Genomic DNA, 19,289 nt, shown 5'->3' on the forward strand with positions numbered 1-19,289 from the left:
AAAACATTGTTGAAAAAAGTTAAAGAAGATGTAAATAAATGAAAGTATATCTGACGTTCATGAATTGGAAGACTTAGCATTGTTAAGATGGCAATATTCCCCAAATTGATGTACAGATTCAATGCAATTTCTATCAGAATCCCAGAACCGACTTCTTTGTAGAAATTGACAAGCTGATTCCAAAACTGGTATGGGATTACAAATGATCCAGAATAGCCAAAACAATCTTAAAGAAGAACAACAAAGTTGTCGGACTCACATTTCCTGATTTCAAAACTTTTACAAAGCAACAGTAGTCAAGACAGTGTGGTACTAGCATAAGGATATACATACAGATTTGTGGAATCGAATTGAGAGTCTAGAAATAAAACTGTGTGTCTATGGCCACATGATTTTTGAAAAACGTAAAACACCATTCAATGGGGAAAACATAGTCTTTCCAACAAATGACACTGGGACCACTGGGTAAACATATATGCAAAAGAATGAAACTGAACTCTTATCTCACACCATACACAAAAATTAACTCAAAATGAATGACAGTCATAAATATTATAAGAGTTTTACAGCTAAGAAAACTGAGGGGTCTTCATGACCTCAGATTTGACAACGGATTCTTATATGTGACACAAAGGCAACAAAGAAAATATACGTAAATTGGAGTTCATAAATATTAAAAACTTGCACTTCAAAGGATGCAACTAAGAAACTGAAAATACAATGTCTTCCACAGCATGGAAGAAAATATTTGCAAATCATATATTTGATAAGGGATGTTCATCTAGAAGGTATAAAAAACACACTTCAAAAATAAAGAGGCAAGTAAGCCAATTTAAAAATTAGCCAAAGGATCAAAACAGACATTTTTCTGAGGAAAATATGCAAATTGTCAATAAACACATGAAAAGGTGATTGACATCATTAGTCATCAAGGTAATGTAAATCAAAACCACTATGAGTGACCAGTGCACAACCAGCAGGGTGGCTAGAATCCAAAAGTCAGATAATAACAGGCGTTGGTGGGGATGGATAGAAACTGGAAACCACACACACTGCTGGTGGGAAAGTAAAATGGCAGAAAGCAAACTGCCAGTTCCTAAAATGATTAAACATGAATTTACCAGATGACCCAGCAATTCCACTTCTAAGAATATATTCAAGAGAAATGAAAACATATGTCCACACAAAAACTTGTACATGAATTTTATATCAGCATTAGTCATAAAAGCCAAAAGCTGCAAACAATCCAAATGTGAATCAACTGATGAATGGATAAACAAAATGTGGTATATCCTTACACTGGAATGTTATTTGGCTGTAAAGAGACATGAAGTATCAGCTGGGCATAGGGGTTCATGCCTGTAATCCCAGCACTTTTGGAGGCCAAGGTGGGAGGATCCCTTGAGGCCAGTAGTTCAAGACCAGCTTGGGCAACATAGCAAGATGCTATCTCTACAAAAAAAATTTTTTTTTTTTTTTTTTGAGACAGAGTTTTGCTCTTGTTGCCCAGGCTGGAGTGCAATGGCGCGATCTCGGCTCACCACACCCTCCGCCGCCCAGGTTCAAGCAAATCTCCCACCTCAGCCTCCCGTGTAGCTGGGATTACAGGCATGCGCCATCATGCCTGGCTAATTTTTTTTGTATTTTTAGTAGAGACGGGGTTTCTCCATGTTGGTCAGGCTGGTCTCGAACTCCTGACCTCAGGTGATCCGCCCACCTCGGCCTCCCAAAGTGCTGGGATTACAGGCATGAGCCACCGCGCCCGGCCCAAAAAAAATTTTTTAATTAACCTGGTGTGGTGACACATGCCTATAGTCCTAGCTACTGAGGAGGCTGAGGCAAGAGAGCCCCTTGAGCCTCAGAGTTCGAAGTTACAGTGAACTATGATCATGCCACTGTACTCCAGCCTGGGCAACAGAACGAGACTCTGTCTCAAAAAAAAAAAAAAAAAATGAAGCATTGACACATGCCACAACATGAATAACCTGGAACATATTATGCTCAGCTACAGAATACAAATACAAATACAGAATACAAATACAAAAGGACACATACTGCATGATTCCATTTATATGAAATGTCCAGAATAGGTAAATCCATAGAGATAAAAAACAGACTAATGGTTGCCAGGTGCTGGGAGAACGGGGAAATGGAGAGTACATTTGTTTCTCAGGGCTGCCATAACAAACTACCACAGACTGGATGGCTTAAAACAACAGAAATGTATTGTCTCTCAGTTCTGGAGGCTAGAAGTGCTAAATCTAAGATATCAGCTGTGCTATCTCCGGAGGCTCTAGGGGAGACTCTTTCCTTCCCCACTTCTAGCTTCTGGTGGCTCCTGGCAAACCTTGGTGTTCCTGGGCTTGCAGCTGCATCCCTCCAATCTCTTTCTCTATTTTCTTTCTTTCTTTCTTTGAGATGGAGTTTCACTCTTGTTGCCCAGGCTGGAGTGCAAGGGTGCGATCTCAGCTCACCGCAATCTCTGCCTCCCAGGTTCAAGTGATTCTCCTGTCTCAGCCTCCCAAGTAGCTGGGATTACAGGCATGCACCACCATGCTCGGCTAATTTTTGTATTTTTAGTAGAGACAGGGTTTCTTCATGTTAGTCAGGCTGGTCTCGATCTACTGACCTCAGATGATTCACCCACCTTGGCCTCCCAAAGTGCTGAGATTACAGGCATGAGCCACTGCGCCCAGCCTTCTCTATTTTCACGTGGTCTTCTTCTCCGTGTGTCCTCTCCCCTCTATAAGGACACTCATTACTGGCTCAAGGGCCCATGCTAATCCAGTATGACCCCATCTTAACTAATTACATGTGCAAAGACCTTATGTCCAAACATGGTTACTTTCTGAGGTTCCAGGTAGATGTGAATTTGTGGAGGACACTGTTCAATCCACTATAGAGTGACTGCTAACAGTTAAAGTTTCTTTTAGAGGTTATGAAAATGTCCTAAAATTGACTGTGGTGATGATAGCACATATCTGTGAATATACTAAAAAACATTTAATTATATACTCTAAATAGGGGAATTGTGTGGTATGCAAATTATATCTCAATAAAGCTATCTAAAATGCAAAAAGAATTAAGATTCAACAAACCCCCAGTAGAACATCTAAGAGATATACAGGAAGAAGAGGGAAAATTATCCCAGAAGGAAGATCTGAAAGTAAGAAGAAACAGTTAGTATGAGCTGGAATTTAAGTCCTGTATGTCAGATACTTCATTTTGCTCACTGTTGAGTCAGGCCTATAGTAACTGTTCAAAAAATATACGTTTGATAAACAGTTTGATGTGCAAACAAATTAGTAAATAGAGGCACAAATAGAAATAAATATCTTTATTGAATAATAATGTTGAATTTTGTGATTAGAAAATAAGATATAACGAAAATACCAGACAATAGCATTGTAAGCTGGAAGAGTACGGCCAAAGCTAGAGCAATGAAAGGTCTTGGAATTTTTGAAACATAGGCTAAAGATATGGAATAATTTTGGACTTCATAAGTTAAATGTGCATGAAAAACATTTCAAAAGTAACCATTACGAGAATAAAGAGGGTATATAACTTCCTAGCTAATTAAGCAAAAACTTGGGGGAAAAAAAGCTCAATCCAATAGAATGCTGGAAATGAGAAAACTATAGACAAAGTGGAACATTTAGAAAGCAAAAAGAGAGAGAGGACAGAAAAATTCAAACACACCAGAAATAGATTTTTCTATTTAATCTTTTATCTTATAATTGTTATTATTTTTTTGAGACAGGGTCTCGCTCTGTCACCCAGACTGGAGTGCAGTGGCACAATCACAGCTCAACCTCTCGGCTCAAGCCATCCTCCCACCTCAGCCTCCTGAGTAGCTGAGTAGCTGGGATCACAGGCATGTGCCACCACACCCAGCCAATTTTTTTTATTTTTATTTTTAATAGAGGTGGGGTTTCATTATGTGGCCCAGGCTAGTCTAGAACTCCTGGGCTCAAGCAATCTGCCTGCTTCGTCCTCCCAGAGTGCTGGGATTACAGGTGCGAGCCACTGCATCCGGCCAGAAATAGATTTAAATAGCCTAAATCTTCCATTTAAAAGACAGATTGTTATATTAGATTAAAAGCAAATCCAGCTAAATGTTACTTAAAGATACATACCTAAAACGTAAGAAGACAGAAAGACATTTATAGACAGTGCAGCCCAAACTCTTAACCCAAACCCTAGAGCCAAATGTGTTTCAAATTCAGATTAATTTAAGAAATTAATATAGGGTCTATGTTATACATTAACACAGTGGAGTTTGAGGCAGCACCCCATAATCAAACACAGTAATATTTCTGAAAGAAACATAAATATTCACACTAAGTAGAATAAATAAGACTATAGTGTTACATTGGCATAGATCAGGTTTTGCTGCCAAAAGAATTATAAAAATAACTTTGTTTTCCAAGCTTTTTGGTTTTCAGAACTGCAGATATGGAATCACAGACCTGAACCAGGCAAATATTAGCCAAAAGAGAGCTGGCGTACTCATGGAATATCAAACAAACGAGCTTCTCAGGAAAACAACATTATTAGGGTTTACCTTACGTGAAAGTGTTTGCCAGAGCCTCAACTCTCCAGGAAGATATAATTCCATATTTATAGACTTTATTGATATAGCCTCCAAACATATGAAGACAAATTGATAATATAAGGAAATCTGGGTGTACACACCAAATCATTTTCAATTTATTATTTTCTGCCTGTTCCATATTTCAGTGTGTGTCTTGTCTTCCCAGCTACACTATAATAAATAAGCGATGAGCGGGTGGGGAGGCAGGAGGGAAGGGAGCTTTCGTGCAATGACTTCCGCAAAAGGCTCTGGCCCAGCTTACATACTCATTGACTCCTTTGAGTTACCTGACCCTACAAAGTGGGAATTGTTGTCTTTTTGTTGCAACAAGAGAGATTAAATAATTTGCCTAAAGTCACAGTAAGTGTCAGAGTTTAGATTTAAGTTCAGTTCTCTTTGACTCCAAAGATCCAAAACCTTTTCAGTGTATCATAAAATAAGCCTGAGACGTTGACCCTTGATTTAGTGAAATTAAAATGGCAGCCATTATATATGACGGATTGCAATCAGGAGTAGGGTCTCCGCATACCATCCATGATCATTTTCCAGGAGGCATAGTATCAAGTGTCCATGCATGAGCGACACATGCTGAGAGCTTACACAATCATTCTACATCACCTCCAAACCTCATTTTCCCACTGACCTTCAGACAGCTTCTGAATGAGAGGAATTCAAAATCCCAAGACATTCTGTTATTTCTCATCCTTAAACATACATTTTTTATGCTTTTAACACAAAAATGGGGAGTTTTCTGGATAAGGAGTGAACTTCGAATTTAAAATGTAAAGCCTTTTTAAACCTATTTAAATTTTTTTCTATTTCCATTCGCTAATTATCCTCCATAAAATAGAAAGAGAAAATAATTATAACTAAAATTGGTCACAGTAACAGCAGTGGGCATAAAAATACACGGTCAAAAAATAAAGTCTAGAAATAAAAACAACACATTTGCCCTTATGTTTAAAGAACATCAGAGACTACTCAAGAACTAGGATCATGCAGGGAGTACTTCTCCTCACCCCGGATGTCAGGGAATGCTCTGTACAAAACACTGTTCCCGTCTCACAAAGCATCTTGAAGATGGAGACGTGCATACTCACAGTTCACCACAAGAGGGCGGTCATCAAAAGGGAAAGGTCACCCTGCCCTAAGCCCACACCGGAAGGGTGAATCCATGTTTAAGGAGGTTGAAGGTATTTTTATAATCATGGGCTGCTCCTGGAATTGATAAAACACGATCCAAATTAAGATCTGCTTTTCTTCAGTACTATTTTTATGTTGTTAATCCCATTTCAATAATAAATTCTTAGAGATAGTGTATAAAGAATAACAAATTTTCCTGTCTATAGAGTAAAATAGAAGCCACATGAACTACCCACACAAGGCAATTCCAGTGTCAGCAGTAAATGGATTTTATTTTCGGTAAACTTTGCTGAAAAGTGGAGACTAAAAGGGATTCAACCTGCATATACCTTTTTTAAAAATGTGAATTTAAGCCTTGTATTCCTTATAAACTATTGAGAAGTGAAAATGAGTTTACATTCCAGTTTTATTATCTTTTCAAAGGGTGCAAGTATAGCAGCAGTCTTAGCCTCTTTATCAACCCATATCGTCAGCACTAGGTTGCTCTTGCATAACTCATTCTTTCAAATGGCTTCCACTGACAAATGCAACCCACAGATCTGATCTTTTCAATGTACCAGCCAACCAAGAATCTGCCGAGCTTCTTGGCACCAGCCAACTAGGACGTGGCCAGAGCAGGCTCTGGGGTCTATGTGTCTGGGTTTGAACCCTGGCTCCAATTCTTAGTAGCTATGTGTAACCATGGGTCAGTCTCTTACTCTGCCAGTCTCTTTCCTTATCTGTAAAATGGGAATAATAATAGTACCTGCTCCATAAAGCAGTTGTAAAGATTCAGTGATATACATAATGTAAAGCAGCAGTCCCCAGTTGCTGTGGCATCAGGGATTGCCTTCTTGGAAGACAATTTTTCCCCAGATGGGACGGGGAGGGGGTTGGTTTCAGAATTATTCAAGCTCATTACATTTATTGGTGCACTTTGTTTCTATTATTATTACATTGTAGCATATGATGAAATAATTATACAACTCACTATAATGTAGAATCAGTGGGAGCCCTGAGCTTGTTTTCCTGCAACTAGATGGTCCCATCTGGGAGTGATGGGAGACAGTGACAGATCATCAGGAATTAGATTCTCATAAGGATTCTCACAACCTAGATCCCTCACATGCGCAGTTCTTAATAGGATTCATGCTCTTATGAGACTCTAATGCCACTGCTGATGTGACAGGAAGCAGTGCTCACATGGTAATGTGAGTGATGGGGAGTGGCTATAAATACACATGCTTTGCTCACTCACCTTTGGCTCACCTCCTACTGCGCAGCCCTATTCCTAACAGGCCACTGATGGGTACCAGTCCATGGCCCCATGGTTGGGGATGCCTGATTTAAAGCACATGGCAAAATATGTAGTCTCAGAATATGCTCAGTAAATGTTAATTAGCATGGTTTACTTATTCACAAATATTTATTGAGCACCTAGGATGTGCGGAGTATTCTGGGTGCTTGCAACTTAACTATAAACAAAATAGTTAATGATCCCTGCCCTTAAGGGCTTGCATTCCAGCAAAAGGAGGTAGACGGTAAACAACAGGTGTTCTAAGTGACTAAAGCATCCTAGCAGGCAAGAAGACAGTAAATGCTGTGAAAAAGAAAAGAACCAACAGGCTATAGAGACTTGGGAGGGGTGGTTACAGTTTTAAACAGGTTGGTCAGGTGGGCCTCATGCAGAAGGTATGGCTTGTATAAAGAAGTGGAAAAGGTTTGGGAGTACCATGTAGCCGTGGGGGAAAGAGCAATTCTTTTTTTTTTTTTTAGACAGAGTTTCGCTCTTGTTGCCCAGGCTGGAGTGCAATGATGCGATCTCGGCTCACTGCAACCTCTGCCTCCCAGGTTCAAGTGATTCTCCTGCCTCAGCCTCCCAAGTAGCTGGAATTACAGGCATGCACCATCATGCCAGGCTAATTTTGTATTTTTAGTAGAGACGGGGTTTCTCCATGTTGTTCAGGCTGGTCTTGAACTCCTGATCTCAGGTGATCCTCCCGCCTCGGCCTCGCAAAGTGCTGGGATTACAGGTGTGAGCCACTGCGCTGGCCCGGGAAAGAGCATTTCAAGCAAAGGGAACAGTCAGTTCAAAGGCTCTGCAACCAGAGTGTGCCTGCTTGTTCTAGGAATGGCAAAGGAGCGCAGAGCAGCTGGGGTGAAGAGAACATCTCCAAACTGGATGACCCATTCTCTAATCATACATCTCCGCCCACCTTTTTGATCAGTGTTCTCTGTTTATTGATGCTAAATTCTTCCAAGATAACTCTAAAATCACTGTTTTAACCCTACTCTACTTCATTCCTTAAATTCTAGTCTTTTTTTTTTTCCTCTCTTTTTAGTGTCTTTGGATTTAGCCCTTTCTTTCCATCTCCTCTGTCATGACAGAGACAGATTAGGGCCTGTCCCAGGACAAAAAAGTGCATGGTGCCCTTCTTTATAAGTTACAAAGGTCTGTAAAACCTGTAATGAAAGCTGAGGGTTTCTCATTTTTAGGTGCCCCAGCTTTGTCCCTGAATATGTGCTTAATCTGCCAGCCAGGGATCCAGAAGCACCATCTCCCTGTCTGCATTCTGATCACCCACCTCACTTCCAGGTTAGTGCAATTATTTCTTAAAGAGTTTTCCCCTTCGGTACCTCCCAGCTATAATCTATACAACACTATACAATCAGAACTTTCTGATTGACCTAAGATTTGCATTCACTAGTCATCTCTGTATTTAGGGACTTATAATGACCATTTATTACTTACCAGATAAAGTCTTAATTGCAATGCCTGTCCTCATACTTATGAACAACTCGAGGTCAAAAACCTAGTTTTAAACTTCTTTTGTAATCTTAGAAATGCTTAGCAGGATGGATGATACATGTAAACACGCAACGCTTTTTGGATTGATATGAACAGGAAAGACAATTGAAAGAACAAAAGTGAAACTCACAAACTGTCAAGTTCTTCCAGCTCTGAGGACCATATTGATTACTGAACATAATACAAATTCAACTTACATACTAAAAGATTTACTCTTTATAGTGTATCAATCTCTGAGTTTTGACTAATGCATATGGTAATGTACCCACCATCGTAATCAAGATATAGATCAGTTCTATCCCTCTGTGTCTAAACATCTCCTGGTGTCCCTTCGTAGCCAGTACCTCCGCCTGACTCTGGCAATCATTGATCTGTTTTTTTGTACCTATAGATTTTCTTTTTCTGGATGTCATAATGGAATCATCCAGTATATGGCCTTTTGAATCCAGCTTCTTTCACTTAGCATAATGCATTTGCGATTCATCCATTTCGTTGCATATATCAGTAGTTTGTTCCTTTTGCTGAGCAGTCTTTCTTTGTATGGGTAAATCACAGTATGTTTATCCATTTACCAGCTGAAGAACATTTGTGTTGTTTCCAGTTTGGGACAATTATAAATAAAGTTGCTATAATCATTCATGTCCAGGTTTTTGTATAAACATGTTTTCACTTTCCTTGGGTAAATGCATAGAGGTGGAATCGCTGGATCATGTGGCATGCTTAACTTTTTAAGAAAATGTCAAAAAAAAAAAAAAAAAAAAGAAAATGTCAAACTATTTTCTAAGGTGGCTGTAAACATCTGATGTTCCCACCAGCAATAAATGACAGTTAGAGCTGTTCTGCATCCTCACCAGCACTAGGTATTATCCATTTTTTCTTTTTTTTTCTACACCTCATTATTGATCACAGTATTGTCAGTTTTTAAAATTTTTATTATTTCATCAATTAAAATAGAAATATTTATTGCGGGTTTTAAAATTTTAAGCATATTTTAATTAAGCTAATATATGCAAAAAACTACTGTTTCCATCTATAAACAATATTCAAAATTATTCATGAGATTTTTTTATTGATACATAATTGTACACATGTTGGGGGTACATTTGGTATTTTGACACATGCATACAATATGTAATGATTGAACCAGAGCAATTGAGACATCCATCACTCTAAACATTCACCCCGTTTATGCTGGGAACATTCTAATTCCACTCCTCCAGCCATTTTGAACTATACAACAAATTACTGCTAACTATAGTCACCATACTGCACTATTCAACAAGAGATCTTATTCCATTTAACTGCATTTTTGTACCCATTAACCAACCTCTCTTTTTTTCTCTCCATCATTACCCTTCCCAGCCTCTGGTAACCACTAATCAACTCTCTGCCTCCATAAGGTACACTTTTTAAGCTCCCAAATGCGAGTGAGAACACGCAAAATTTGTCTTTCCGTGCCTGGCTTATTTCACCTAACATAATGACCTCCAGTTCTATCCATGTTGCTGAAAATGACATGATTTTATTCTTTTTAAGGCAGAATAATATTCCATTGTGTACGTGCACCTCAGTTTCTTTATCCATTCATCTGTTGATGGACACTTAGGTTGATTCCGTATTGTGGTTATTGTAAACAGTGTTACAATAACATATATCTCTTCATCATACTGATTTCCTTTCTTTTTGGATATATACCCAGCAGTGGGATTGCTGGATCATATGGTAGCTCTGTTTTTAGTTTTTTGAGGAACCTCCAAACTGTTTTCCAGAATGGCTATACTAATTTACATTCTCACCAGCAGTGTACAAGTAAGCGTTCATTCCCCTTTCTCCACATTCTTGACAGCATCCATTATTTTTTGTCTTTTTGATAAAAGGCATTTTAACTGAGGTCAGATGATGTCTCATTGTGGTTTTGATTTGCATTTCCCTGATGATTGGTGATGCTGCACACTTTTTCATATATCTGTTGTCCATTTGCATGTCTTCAATTGAGAAATGTCTACTCAGATCCTTTGCCTGTTTCTTTTAGATTTTTTTTGTGTGTGTGTTTTTGGCTGTTGAGGTGTTTGAGTTCCTTATATATTCTGTTTATTAATTCTTTGTCAGAGGAATAGCTTGCAAATATTTTCTTCCATTCTGTAGATTCTCTTCCCTTTGTTGTTTTCTTGCTGTGCAGAAGCTTTTTAGCTTGATGTAAACCCATTTGACAATTTTTGCTTTTGCTGTCTGTGCTTTTGAGGTCTTACCCAAAAAACTCTGTGCCCAGATCAATGTCCCAAAGCATTTCCTCAGTGTTTTCTTCTGGTAGTTTCATGCTTTCAGGCCTTAGATTTAAGTCTTTAATCCATTTTGAGTTTTTTTGTGTACACAAGGTGAGAGATAGTTGTTTAACGTCATTCTTTTGTATATGGTTATCTAGTTTACCCAGCACCATTTATTGAAGAGACTCTCCTTTTCCCAATGTATGTTTTTGGAGCCTTTGTCAAAATGGGTTGGTAGTAAATGCATGGACTTATTTATGGCTTATCTACTCTGTTCCATTGGTCTATGTGTCTGTTTTTATTCTAGTACCACGCTGTTGTTTTTTTATTTCGTTTTTGTTTATTTTGAGACACTGTTTCACTCTTGTCACCCAGGCTAGAGTGCAATGGTGTGATCTCGGCTCACTGCAAGCTTCACCTCCCAGGTTCAAGTGATTCTCCTGCCTCAGCCTCCCAAGTAGCTGGGGTTACAGACATCCACCACCATGCCTGGCTAAGTTTTTTTGTATTTTTAGTAGAGACGGGGTTTCACCATGTTGGCCAGGCTGGTCTCAAACTCCTGACCTCAGGTAATCCACTCACCTTGGCCTCCCAATGTGCTGGAATTACAGGTGTGAGCCACCAAGGTCACCACCTGGCCTACCTACTGTTTTTGTTACTATGGCTTTGTAGTAAATAGTCAAATATTTGAAATTGAAGTCAAATAGTGTGATGTCTCTAGCTTTGTTCTTTTTGCTCAAGATTGCTTTGACTATTCAAGGTCATTTGTGGTTCTATGTGAATTTTAGGATCTTTTTTTTCTATTTCTATGAAGAATACAATTGGTATTTTGATAGGGGTTGCATTTAATTTGTAGATCATTTTGGTTAGTATTAACATTTTAACACTATTCTTCTAATTCATGAGCATGAGATATCTTTCCATTTCTGTGTGTGTGTGTCCTCTTCCATTTCTTTCATCAGTGTTTTATAAAATTTTTGGAGACATCTTTCACTTCTTTGGTTAAACTGATCCCTAGGTATTTTATATTTTTTGTAGTTGTTATAAATGGGTTTTTTTTCTTGATTTCTGTTTCAGATTGTTCACTGTTGGCATATACAAATGCTACTTATTTCTTTTGTTGATTTTGTATCCTGCAATTTTATTGAATTTGTTCATGAGTTCTAATAGGTTTTTTTTGGTGGAGTCTTTAGGTTTTTCAAAATATGATATCATGTCATCTGTGAACAAGGTTAATTTGACTTCTTTCTTTCCAATTTGTATGCCCTTTATTTTTTCTCTTGTCTAATTGCTGTGGCCAGGACTTCCAGTACCATGTCGAATAGACGTGGTGATCCCTGTGGGCATCCCTGTCTTATTCCAGATCTTAGAGGAAAGGCTTTTAATTTTGCCCTGTTCAGTATATGTTAGCTGTGGATTTGTCATATATGGCCTTTATTATTTTGAGGTATGTTCTTTCTATACCCAATTTGTTGAGGATTTTATCATAGAAGAATGTTGGATTTCATTAAATCATTGTGGTTTTAAGTTGCAGTTCCCTAATGACAATGTTGAGCATCCTTTCCTGTGTTTCCTTGCCATGTGTACATGATCCTTGATTAAGTATCTATTCAAAACTTTTGCCATTTTTAACTGGGTTGTTTGTTTCTATATTGAGTTTTGAGAATTCTTTAAATATTCTGGATATACATCCTTATCAAATACATGTTTTGCAATTATTTTCTCCTAGTATGTGGCTTGCTTTTATTTACATACAATAGAATTCACATTGGTATACATGTCTATGAGTTCTAACACATGCATAGATTCTTGTAACTACTACCACAAACAGGACATTCCAACACCTAAAGAATTCCCTCATGTTCCCCCTTTGCTCAGACCCTCTCCACACCCCAACCTCTGGCAACATATTCGCTGTCCCGTAGTTCTGCTTTTTCCAGTATCTCAAATAAATGAAATCATATGATATGTAATCTTTTGAGACTGGCTTAGTTCACATAGCATAATGCTGAGTAGTATTCTGTTCTGTGAATACACCATGGTTTATGTATCCATTTGCCCATTGAAGGACACTGAAGTTGTTGTTTCCAGCTTTTGGTAATGAAGATTTTTGGGAAATAAATGCAATTTTCACAATGAATAAATACAAAACATTAGACATTGTTGAAGACAGCAGATTCAAGCAGCACTGTTATGTTTGAGAAAGTCAGTAAAGAACAGGCATCAGGAAAGTGGAAAGAAAGGCCACCATGGGCTCAGCTCAATTAGGATGATATACATAACACGGAATGAGAGAAGCAAAAAATTCTTATGAGGAACTGGATGAGCCAGAAGAGTTGCCCAGGTCAACACTGGACCCTGGCTTGCAGTTGAGTGCAGGAAAGAGAGAACTGTTGGTAATATCATGAAGCTACAATCACATTAAATATTTTATTTAGGCCGGGAGCAGTGGCTCACGCCTGTAATCCCAGCACTTTGGGAGGCCGAGGCGGGCGGATCATGAGGTCAGGAGATCGAGACCATCCTGGCTAACACGGTGAAACCCCGTCTCTACTAAAAACACAAAAAATTAGTCGGGCGTGGTGGCGGGCACCTGTACTCCCAGCTACTTGGGAGGCTGAGGCAGGAGAATGGCGTGAACCCTGGAGGCAGAGCTTGCAGTGAGCTGAGATCGCGCCACTGCACTCCAGCCTGGGCGACAGTGCCAGACTCCATCTCAAAAAAATATATATATTTATTTATATTTTTATAATTTCCCTTCCCTGCTTCTGAGAAAGCATTATCATAAAAAGCTATTTGCATCAAGACAGCTAAAAATTGAATCATAAAGCAAATTCAGAAGCCATATTGAGGAAGAGGCAAGGGGGAAAAATCAGCTAAGAACCTGAAATGAGATATGTATTTATTTTCTGGGATTCCTATGGTCTAAGACAAAAAGAGATAATTTTTATTCTCTTGGTTGTTAATTGAAAGAACATCAGTTTTCTAGGAAAAGGAAAACTTTTTTCTGTCATTAAATCCTCAGATATATTTGTCATATAATTTCGGATATAAAAGACCCATAAGACCTCTGGAAGGCCAAGGCAGGCGGATCATGAGGTCAGGAGATTGAGACCATCCTGGCTATCCTGGCTAACACGGTGAAAGCCCGTCTCTACTAATAATGCAAAAAATTTGCCGGGCCCGGTGGTGGGCGCTTGTAGTCCCAGCTACTCAGGAGGCTGAGGCAGGAGAACGGCGTGAACCCGGGAGGCGGAGCTTGCAGTGAGCCTAGATCGCGCCACTGCACTCCAGCCTGGGAGAGAGAGCGAGACTCCCTCTCAAAAAACAAATAAACGAAAAAAAAACACCATAAGACGCCTGGCACGGTGGCTCATGCCTGTAATCTTAGCACTTTGGGAGGCCAAGGCCAGCGGATCACCTGAGGTCATGAATTTGAGACCAGCCTGGCCAACATGGTGAAACCCCGTCTCTACTAAAAGTACACACACACACACACACAAATTAGCAGCGTGGTGGCGTGTACCTGTAATCCCAGCTACTCAGGAGACTGAGGCAGGAGAAGTAATTGAACCCGAGAGGAGGAGGTTGCAGTGAGCCGAGATCACGCCACTGCACTCTAGCCTGGGCAACAGAGCGAGACTGCATATCAAAAATAAAAGACCCATAAAATATATCGAATAACACCATGAAAAACAATAGTTTCACAAGGGATGCAAAACATTTCTTCATATGAAAAGTTATTGTATCTACCTTCAACATGACCGAGTGGAACATAGGTTATGCAGAAATTCAGTGCATTCACTTTCAATTTCCCAAATATGGTCAGTAGGTATCACTTGGATCAAAATTACCTGGAGCTACATGATACACATACAAATTCTTAAGTCCTATCCCAGACCAACTAAATCAAAATTGGTGGGGGGTGACATGGACCAGGAATCTAGCACATTAAACTGTGAGAACCACTTCTATAGAATAGCATATCTGCTTTTAGGTCCTGTAGTAATGCAGAAACAGAAATGGAAAAATTTAGAAAAATGAATAATTCACATGTCCTGGAAAGGTTCTCTTTTGATATTAATTGCTTCTGTTGTGCTTTGGCAGTCCATTTGAGTTCTTTGGTATTGGGAAGTGACAGCGTGCTGACAGTCCTCAGAGCCCTCGCTCGCTCTCTGCGCCTCCTCTGCCTGGGCTCCCACTTTGGCGGCACTTGAGGAGCCCTTCAGCCCACCACTGCACTGTGGGAGCCCCTTTCTGGGCTGGCCAAGGCCAGAGCCGGCTCCCTCAGTTTGCAGGGAGGTGTGGAGAGAGAAGCGCGAGCAGGACTGCGCGGGGCTTGCAGGCCAGCAGGAGTTCCGGTTGGGCCTGGGCTTGGCGGGCCCCGCACTCGGAGCAGTCCGCCGGCCCTGCTGCCCCGGGCAATGAGGGGCTTAGCACCCGGGCCAGCGGCTGCGGAGGGTGTACTGGGTCCCCCAGCAGTGCCAGACCACTGGTGCTGCGCTCAATTTCTCGCCGGGCCTTAGCTGCCTTACCGTGGGGCAGCGCTCGGGACCTGCAGCTAGCCATACCTGAGCCTCCCACAAGCTCCGTGGGCTCCTGTGCCGCCTGAGCCTCCCTGACGAGCGCCGCCCCCTGCTCCACGGCGCCAAGTCCCATCGACCACCCAAGGGCTGAGGAGTGCCTGTGCATGGCGTGAGACTGGCAGGCAGCTCCACCTGCAGCCCCAGTGCAGGATCCACTGGGTGAAGCCAGCTGGGCTCCTGAGTCTGGTGGGGACGTGGAGAACCTTTATGTCTAGCTCAGGGATTGCAAATACACCAATCAGCACTCTGTATCTAGCTCAAGGTTTGTAAACACACCAATCAGCACCCTGTGTCTAGCTCAGGGTTTGTGAATGCACCAATTGACACTCTGTATCTAGCTGCTCTGGTGGGGCCTTGGAGAACCCTTATGTCTAGCTCAGGGATTGTGAATACACCAGTCGGCACTCTCTGTATGTAGCTCAAGGTTTGTAAACACACCAATCAGCACCCTGCGTCTAGCTCAGGGTTTGTAAATGCACCAATCGACACTTCTGTATCTAGCTACTCTGGTGGGGACTTGGAGAACCTTTGTGTCCACACTCTGTATCTAGCTCATCTGGTGGGGAGGTGGAGAACCTTTGTGTCTAGCTCAGGGATTGTAAACGCACCAATCAGTGCCCTGTCAAAACAGACCACTTGGCTCTACCAATCAGCAGGATGTGGGTGGGGCCAGATAAGAGAATAAAAGCAGGCTGCCGGAGCCAGCAGTGGTAACCTGCACTGGTGCCCTTCCATGCTGTGGAAGCTTTGTTTTTTGCAATAAATGTTGCTACTGGTTACTCTTTGGGTTCACACTGCCTTTATGAGCTGCAACACTCGCTGTGAAGGTTTGCAGCTTCACTCTTGAGCCAGCGGGGCCATGAGTGCACCAGAAGAAAGAAACTCCAAACACATGTGAATATCAGTAGGAACAAACTCTGGACATGCTGCCTTGAAGGATTGTAACACTGCAGCTTCATTCTTGAAGTCAGTGAGACCAAGAACCCACCAATTCTGGACACAGTATTAATGACTACTCTTTGAAAATGGAAATACTTTGAAGTCTGTAGCCTCCAAAAACAGCTGTATGGTTGCTCATCTCTTGGAAACAAAACAAAAAAAAAAGCAAGGAACTTAATAAAGATAATGAAATAGTTCATAGTATTTTCATGTCTAATTGCCCAAATGATCTGCTTTGAGAATGTTAGTGTCTACACTGTCCGTCACAAATGAGACATAAACAGACCAGGAGGCCCTTGACGTGGAAACACCTTGTCTCCAGCTTTAGTTTATGTGTGTGCCTGAAAGTAAGTGATAAACTACAGTTCTTTAAAAATATTCTGTGGTCTAGATGTGCTCCCACTGTTAGTCAAGGTTATTGGAGTGTTACAGTTGATGATTCATGAATCTCCTTATTCATACTTCAAGAAACTTGTGGAGGATTTGGAAATTTTCTCTTAAAAAGCAGGATAAGTAGATGAGGCTAACTAGTGAGAAATAAGTGGAAGTTTCAAGAAAATATACTGCACATGTATTATAATCAAATTTACGCTTAGATCTATCACATACCCAAAGATCTTGACATACATATACTTCCTGGGAGAAGACGGCAGCTTGTATTAACAATGTCCAAGGGCCTTATCTGTGTCTGACAGCAAATGGCATTTGTTAAGCCCCGTGGAGAGTGTGAAATGCTGGATGTGTTAGAAAGCATCTATGAGTCTACACTGTGGGAGGAAAAATAACACCATTAACATTGAAAGACATGTTGGAATAACCTGAATTTCTAAAACTCAATAGGAAAATAGGAAGAATATTTCCACTAAAAATAACACTAAACTTTAAATCTATAAATTAAAAGCACCATTTTGCCTATCAGAATGTGCCAAAAGAATATCAATAACCACCTCCTTTGTTTGCTTTGGAAAAGTTAGCAAAACAAGATTTGTGAACATTGTGTCTGACTTGCTGATTAAAATTAACTTGCATTTCTATTTAATTCAATTCTTTTTGTCTCATGGGCTGAAATAGTCTAAGTTTCCTATCCAATATGGAACGCTCTTCCTTTTCCCCACTTCCACCTTTGACTCCCAAAGTATGTACTCCCCAGAGGGACTTTATGATCTATTTTCTCATTTCTGCACTATATACTATATTATGTATACAGGGAGATATGCACTGTATGATTTTTACCCCTAAAGGACCTTGGTTTGTCTAGTTCCCCTGATACTCAATTTCTTTTCGATCATGCAGTTCGCAATAGCTGGAAGTTCTCTTAGATATTTCCCCAATTTTAAACATTAAATATTTTAGACTCATTCCAGCCCATTTCCTTTTCTAGTCCTTGTCTTTCTTGAAATGACCCCCTTTAGTTCAGCCAAATGTAAACAAAACTGAATTTTAGCTCTGCTCTTCTAAGAGTTGTGTTTAGACTATGATTTGCTCCAGGCCAATGCTTTTCAAAGAGGAGATTTTGATCTCTGGAGAATCCTTGAAGGTGAAAGATACCAGAAATAGGAAGCCTGGATTTTCAAAAATATATATTTGTTCATTATAACTCATGTGGGAAGAAAAAATGACATTTAGATGTAAGTAAAAAGCATCTAAGCACGGAGGGCCACTTACATAACTCAAAAATGCAAAATGATCCCATAACTCTTTGAAATAACTATCTGGATTCCCACCTTATTTCAAAATGGATTTTATTGTATGATTCTATCTGTAAGAAATGTTCAAAAAAGACAAATCTATAGAGACGGAAAGTAGATTGGAGGTTGCCTGGGGCTGGGCAGGGAGGATGAGGGCAATGGGGAGAGGCTGCAAATGGGGATGGGGTTTCTTTTCGGAGGATGAAGTGCTCTAAAGTCAGAAAGCACTGATAGTTGCACAACTCTGTGCATATACCAAAAGCCACTGAATTGTACACTTTAACAGGGTGAATTTTATGGTATGAGCATTCTGTTCCAATAAAGCTGTGATTTTAAAAAAGTGATTTATATAATTCCCATCAGTCAGTAGGAGAATAATAAACAATACACTAGAAAATAAGCAAAGGATATGTGTTGGAAACACACAAAAGAGGAACCACAATTGGACCAATAAGTATGAAAACAGACACAATATCAGGAGTGGTCAGGAAAATGCAAAACAAAGCAAGATATTTTAAACCCATTACATTGGGAAAAATTATAATAATTCCAAGTGATAGCAGGATGTGAGAATGAGAATCTCATACACAGCTGGTGGGGATGTAAATTGATAATGACAGCTTTGGAGTGCAATTTGGCAACACCTCAAAGTTGAAAATAAGTACACCTTGCAACCTCGTAGTTCCATTTCCCAGTGCGCTGTCACATATACAAGTAAAGACGCATGCACGGGAGCCTTCATTAGCATTGTTTGTAATAGCGGAAAATAGAAACAATTCAAATACCTACCAATGAAGGGTTGCAGAATCAAGCTCTAGTGCATATATATCATAGAATACTATATGGCACCAAAATAAATAAATTAGATTCCCTGGGAAAGAAATGTATTTACAAAACACATGCCACAGGATTTTTTAAAGGGAGATAGAGTTGAAAAAAATAAGATGACCCTAAGGGTTCCTGCTATGCACAGTGCAAGGTTTGACTCCCCTGCTAGAGCTGGGTCATGAGTTGGCACTAAAGATTTAGCGGCCAATGTAAAAAAGGAAATGTGATCAATGACAGAATTAGACTGTGTTATAAAAACATGCAACTATTCCTGGCACTAAGATCAGAGAAAAATTTCCTCCAGAACTTTCATAAAGAGGCCACCATGCAAGGTGGGTGGTAGGCAACTTTGTCAGCCTCATTCTCTCATCCGTAGGACTGAGACTTGTTTCCTCAAAGACGAGTGTAAGTGCTGCAGTCTCCAAGTGCTTTATCTGAAGATTCATTTCTAAGAGCAAG

At 40.1% G+C, this 19,289-nt stretch overlaps 1 long non-coding RNA gene across 1 annotated transcript in view, besides 1 other annotated feature; it reads left to right on the forward strand.

Moving 5' to 3' along the window:
* LOC101928573 (uncharacterized) overlaps nt 1-19,289 on the forward strand; it is a 67,731-nt gene that overhangs the window by 20,537 nt on the left and 27,905 nt on the right. Inside the window, exon 2 of the long non-coding RNA XR_007059489.1 lies at nt 8,213-8,312. This is a non-coding gene — a long non-coding RNA (uncharacterized LOC101928573). The remainder of the gene's footprint in view (nt 1-8,212; nt 8,313-19,289) is intronic.
* Nucleotides 5,533-5,834: a silencer, noted in NCBI's record as "fragment chr6:20291927-20292228 (GRCh37/hg19 assembly coordinates)". NCBI's record gives its function as "represses an EF-1alpha promoter that drives an FKBP-Casp9 reporter gene in an ReSE screen in HepG2 liver carcinoma cells {active_cell/tissue: HepG2}" and the evidence as "EXISTENCE:reporter gene assay evidence [ECO:0000049][PMID:32094911]".

Source organism: Homo sapiens, chromosome 6 (genome assembly GCF_000001405.40).
Source record: "Homo sapiens chromosome 6, GRCh38.p14 Primary Assembly".
Taxonomy (NCBI): domain Eukaryota; kingdom Metazoa; phylum Chordata; class Mammalia; order Primates; family Hominidae; genus Homo; species Homo sapiens.